This window comes from Homo sapiens, chromosome 2, assembly GCF_000001405.40.
Source record: "Homo sapiens chromosome 2, GRCh38.p14 Primary Assembly".
Taxonomy (NCBI): domain Eukaryota; kingdom Metazoa; phylum Chordata; class Mammalia; order Primates; family Hominidae; genus Homo; species Homo sapiens.
This window is the reverse complement of record NC_000002.12, coordinates 128,068,736-128,074,711: the sequence shown is the minus strand read 5'-3', so window position 1 is coordinate 128,074,711 and position 5,976 is coordinate 128,068,736.

The following is a 5,976-nucleotide window of genomic DNA, read 5'->3' as shown; positions in this document are numbered from 1 at the left end:
GCAGATGTTGCAGTGAGCAGAGATTGCACCACTACACTCCAGCCTGGGCAACAGAATGAGACTCTGTCTCAAAAAATAAATAAATAAATAAATAAATAAAATTAGGGGAAGTTGGGTGAAGAGTATATGTGAACTCTGTATACTATTTCCACAAATTCCTGTAAGTCCAAACTTTTTCAAAATAAAAATTGTTAAAAATATTTATGCAAGTTCTTCACATTGGCAGACTCTAACTTGGAATAGTATGGGGAAAGGGGTTGTGAGTGTTATAATTCCGGGCTCCCTCTCTGTGATATAGAGGGTCCTGGCAGTGATGAGAACTTCACAACAGACCATGTGGCATCTTCTACCCCTTTGGGAGCTCAGCATACACACCCACCCTCTATGCACAATTTTTTTTTTTTGAGGCAGAATCTCACTCTGTTGCCCAGGCTGGAGTGCAGTGGTGTGATCTCAGCTCACTGCAACCTCTGCCTCCCAGGTTCATGCCATTCTCCTGCCTCAGCCTCTCGAGTAGCTGGGACTATAGGTGCCCGCCACCATGCCCGGCTAATTTTTTTATATTTTTAGTAGAGCTGGGGTTTCACTGTGTTAGTCAGGATGGTCTCCATCTCCTGACCTCGTGATCCACCCACCTTGGCCTCCCAAAGTGCTGGGATTACAGGCGTGAGCCACCACGCCCAGCCCTCTATGCACATTTTTTTGGGGAAGAGGTGTATTCGTTGACTTTTTTTTAGATTCAGGAGGTACATGTGCAAGATTGTTGCATGGCTATATTGTGTAATGGTGACATTTGGGTTCTAGTGCATCCATTACCAAATAGTGAACATTTTACCCAATAAATAATTTTTTTTTTGAGACAGGGTCTAACTCTGTCACCCAGGCTGGAGTGCAGTGGTGCAATCTCTGCTCACTGCAACCTCAGCCTCCTGGGCTCAAGGGATTCTCATGCCTTAGCCTCCTGAGTCAGAGATGGTGTTTCACTGTGTTGCCCCGGCTCGAACCCCTGGCCTCAAGTGATCCTCCCACCTTGGCCTCCCAAAGTGCTGAGAACCCAGGTGTTAGCCACTATGTCCGGCCTCCATAGATAATTTTTAATCTACTCATATTTAATATGCCCACAAACAACTGTAACCCCATCATCTAGGTCCTGCCTAACATCCTGTTACTAGACCTTGTGCCATTAGAGATGCTGCCGTATTCTCCCTAAGAAGCAGACACCTCAAGGCCTATCAATCACTGTTAATCTCTCTCTAGGTGATGTTCATTACTTTTCTAGCTCAATTACAGTCCACTTCTGATATACAGTCATCTAAAGACTAAATTATCAAGTCCAATAGAGCTTAAAAAAAATGCTGGCTGGGCTCGGTGGCTTATGCCTGTAATCCCAGCACTTTGGGAGGCTGAAATGGGAGGATTGCTTGAGCCCAGGTGTTTGAGGCCAGCCTGAGCAACATGGTGAAACCCCATCTCTACCAAAAATACAAAGCTGGGCTCAGTGGCTTGGACCTGTAATCCCAGTTTACTTGGAAGGCTGAGGCTGGAGGATCACTTGAGGCCAGGAGTTCAAGACCAGCCTGGGTAACATAGTGAGATGCCATCTCTAAAAAAAAAAATTTTTGAGGACAGCCACGGTGGCTCACGCCTGTAATCCCGGCACTTTGGGAGGCCAAGGTGGGCAGATTGCCTGAGCTCAGAAGTTCAAGACCAGCTTGGGCAACATGGTAAAACCCCATCTCTACTAAAAATACAAAAATAAATTAGCTGGGCGTGGTGGCGCATACCTGTAATCTCAGCTACATGAGAGGTTGAGGCAGGAGAATTGCTTGAACCTGGGAGGCAGACGTTTCAGTGAGCCACGATCGTGCCACTGCACTCCAGCCTGGGTGACAGAGTGAAACTTTGTCCACCAACACCCTGCAAAAAAAAAAAAAAGAAAGAAAGAAAAAATACAAAAAATTAGCCAGTTGTGGTGGCACACACTTGTAGTCCCAGCTACTTGGGAGGCTGAGGCAGAAGAATTGCTTGAGCCTGGGAGGTGGAGGTTGCAGTGGGCCAAGATCACACCATTGCATTCCAGCCTGGGCTACACAGTAAGACTGTCTCAAAAAAAAAAAAAAGCTCAAATTATAATGTTAGCATTAACAAATATGCCTTAAGATCAGTACTAACATATTAATATAGCATGCAGAAGTATCTGGGATGGGTGGGAATAAAAAGAAGTATCTATACGCCAGGTCTGAGAAAGAAACCAATCCTTCTCCACCAATTGGTAATAGGCAATTGCCCATGAACACATAACGTGGGTTGAGAGGGAGATGTCAATAAAGCAGTAGTAGCTACCATGGAAATCTAAGCTATTGCTCATACAACTGCCTTGTGCCTTCAGAACATGTACAGGCATAATCTCAAATATACAGTTTCCACTGGATGCTGAATTTTTCGTATGCATGATCAACTTATGGCTTCATGGATTCAATAACACACCATGATAAGCAGCTGAGGTCAGAGGATAAGTTTCTCTATGATCTCTACCAGGGCTCAGGAATAAATCAAGAGCTCTTTCTCAAAAAAAGAATAGTTGCCTTCCCAAGATGGCATGATTTTGCTCCCAAATTCTACAAGTCTGAGTCGACATTCTTGATTGGGTTTTCTCAGAGGCTCCATCATATCTGCCGGATATACCATGGTAACTGTTGAATCTGCTGGATCATAAGGCTCAAGTGGCAGAGCAGCTAGCAATAAAGCTTGAGTCAGCTGCAGTGGTGCCTTGTCGTGCTCTAGTTTTTATTCAAAACTGAAACATTATGGGTTAGTCAGTAAATGGGTCAGAAAACACACTCAACTGAATACGCTGCCTCCAGAATCCACACTGGCCCACCAAATGCTGTGCCTCATTATTAGTGGCAGGAGTAGAAGATGCGCTAACTCGCCTTTCATTTGAGAGGGGCTATCTCAACACACTCCGCATCACAGAATTTCTAGAAACTTCAACACTGTGGCAAACTTTTGGATTTTTATGAGGTTTATCACCCATCCTCAGTCTTGAAGGTATCTTACTTAGAAAGACATCCAGGGTATTTGAAGTATTTTCATTATTAGGTCCAACAGTATCATGTGCTCAATTTATTTATTTTTATTTGTTTATTTTTAATTTATTTATTTTGAGACAGAGTCTTGCTCTGTCACCCAGGCTGGAGTGGAGTTGTGCCATCATAGTTCACTGCAGCCTCAACCTCCTGGGCTCCAGTGATCTTCCCACCTCAGCCTTCCGAGTAGCTGGGACTACAGGCACATGCCACCACATCTGACTAATTTTGTTTTTATTTTTTTATAGAGATGAGGTCTCACTATGTTGCTCAGGCTGGTCTTGAACTTCTGGGCTCAAGCGATCCTGCCTCGATCTCTCAAAGTACTGGGATTACAGGCATGAGCCACCACGCCCAGCCTGTATGCTGAATTCAGTATTACATTGGTGCAAAAGTTATCGCAGTTTTTGACATTATTTTCAATGGCAGATCAGAATGATGACTTGATTAAAAAAGATCAAGTTTCTTGCAGACTAGATTATAACATAGAGCCGAAGATTTAACATAGGCCTAAGAAAGTGAAGATACGCCACTATTCTTTCTAGGTGAAAACAACACCTTACAGTTTTTCTTAATTGGTTGTTAGAAAAAAGCATTTGCATGGTGGCTCACACCTGTAATCCCAGCACTTTGGGAGGCCAAGGCAGGCGGATCACCTGAGGTCAGGAGTTCGAGACCAGCCTGGCCAACATGGCGAAACCTCATCTCTACTAAAAATACAAAAAAAAAGAGCCTGGCCTGGTGGTGGGCACCTGTGATCCCAGTTACTTGGGAGACTGAGGCAGGAGAATCACTTGAACCCGGAAGGCAGAGGTTGCAGTGAGCCGAGATCACACCAGTGTACTCCAGCCTGGGTAACAGAGCAAGACTCCATCTCAAAATAAATAAATAAATAAAAGATGCAATAGGAATTTTTTTTTGGAGATGGGGGTCTCGCTCTGTCGCCCAGGCTGGAGTGCAGTGGCGCGATCTCAGCTCACTGCAAGCTCCGCCTCCCGGGTTCACGCCATTCTCCTGTCTCACCCTCCCAAGTAGCTGGGACTACAGGCACCCGCCACCACGCCTGGCTAATTTTTTGTATTTTTAGTAGAGACGGGCTTTCACCGTGTTAGCCAGGATGGTCTCGATCTCCTGACCTCATGATGTGCCTGCCTCGGCCTCCCAAAGTGCTGGGATTACAGGCATGAGCCACCGTGCCCGGCTGCAATTGGAATTTAAATTTACAATAATCCATTATCTCCTCAAAATCATTTTTTTGCACAGAACTAATAGGTAAATTAAGTGGGGAATCACTAATTCCACATCTTTGTGTTCTTTAATAGTGATATGAATCTCTGAAATTTCCCAAGGGATGCTATATTGCTTTTGAAGGCGTGTGGGGGCAATTTCAGGGCTTCCACTTGGCACTTCCTACCATAACAGCAGCCTTCCTTCCATGGGTTAGAAAGCCAATGTGAGGATTTTACCAGTTATTGAGTATAGAAAAAAAAATACAGAGTGGGTTCACAGACCACTAGACTTACTGCGGGATGAACTTAGACGATAACTCCATTTATCATGACTCCAAAAGTTGCCACTTTGACTAGTGTGGAGACACTAGTGACTCCATCTTGGACGCTAATCTTCCATGTTGACTTCTGATTAACCCACGTCCTGGGAATGCCTCCAGGATTTCCACTTTATTTACTGTCTTTAGTGTAAGAGCATGCCAACCTTGGTGTTATCAAATTATAGGCTATGACTCATATACTCTCCTTGGAGGGTTGCCTTCAATTGTCCTGCACTTTTCTTTTTTTTTTTTTTTTGAGATGGAGTCTCGCCCTGTCACCCAGGCTGAAGTGCAGTGGTACAATCTCGGCTCACTGCAACCTCTGCCTCCCAAGTTCAAATGATTCTCCTGCCTCAGCTTCCCGAGTAGCTGGGATTACAGGCATGTGCCACCACGCCCGGCTAATTTTGTATTTTTAGTAGAGATGGGGTTTCTCCATGTTGGTCAGGCTGGTCTCGAACACCCGACCTCAGGTGATCTGCCCGCCTCAGCCTCCCAAAGTGCTGGGATTACAGGCGTGAGCCACTGCGCCCAGCCACCCAGTTGATTTTTTTTAAGAGATGGGATCTCATTATGTTGCCCAGTCTGGTCTTGAACTCCTGGGCTCAAGCAGTCATCCCACCTTGGCCTCTCAAAATACTAGAATTACCGGCGTGAGTCAACATGCACAGTGCCTACGGCCCTTTCAGGAAACAATTAGAATTTGAAGTCTTACGGTTTTGGAGGTCAGGAGTTTAAAATGGGTTGATCAGCTGCATTATTTTTGGAGGCTCTAGGGGAGAGTCTGTTTTCTTGCCTTTTCCACCTTCTAGAGGTTGTCTGCATCGCTTGGATCGTGGCCCCACATGCTCCAATCTCTTCTTTGTTGTCACATGTCCTGTCTCTCTGACCTTCCCGACTCCCTCTCATGAGGACCTTTGCGATCACGTTGGCTCCACATGGATAATCCAGGATAATCCCCCCGTCTAAGATCCTCAGCTTAATGACATCTGCCAAGCCACGTATTCCCAGTTTCTACTCCAGGGATTAGGAAGTGGACTACATTTTGGGGGGATATTATTCAGCCCACCACACAAAGATTCCTCAGGACATTGCATCAATTAAGAGACAGCATCCAGCAATCCCTGACAGTTCTGGGTATTTTCCTTTCTACAGTACACAACCACTATGGTAAAAGGCTACAGATCTCCTGTGGCGTGGCAAGGCAAGGAAGAAGAGGCCGTTTGTCTGTGTGGCCACACTGCAGGGTCATTCTCCCCGGGGCTTTTCCTCCCCTTTATTCAAGCAGCGCTAAGTCTATAAACCGGCTCAAGTGTGAGAATTGGATGAGAGATAATG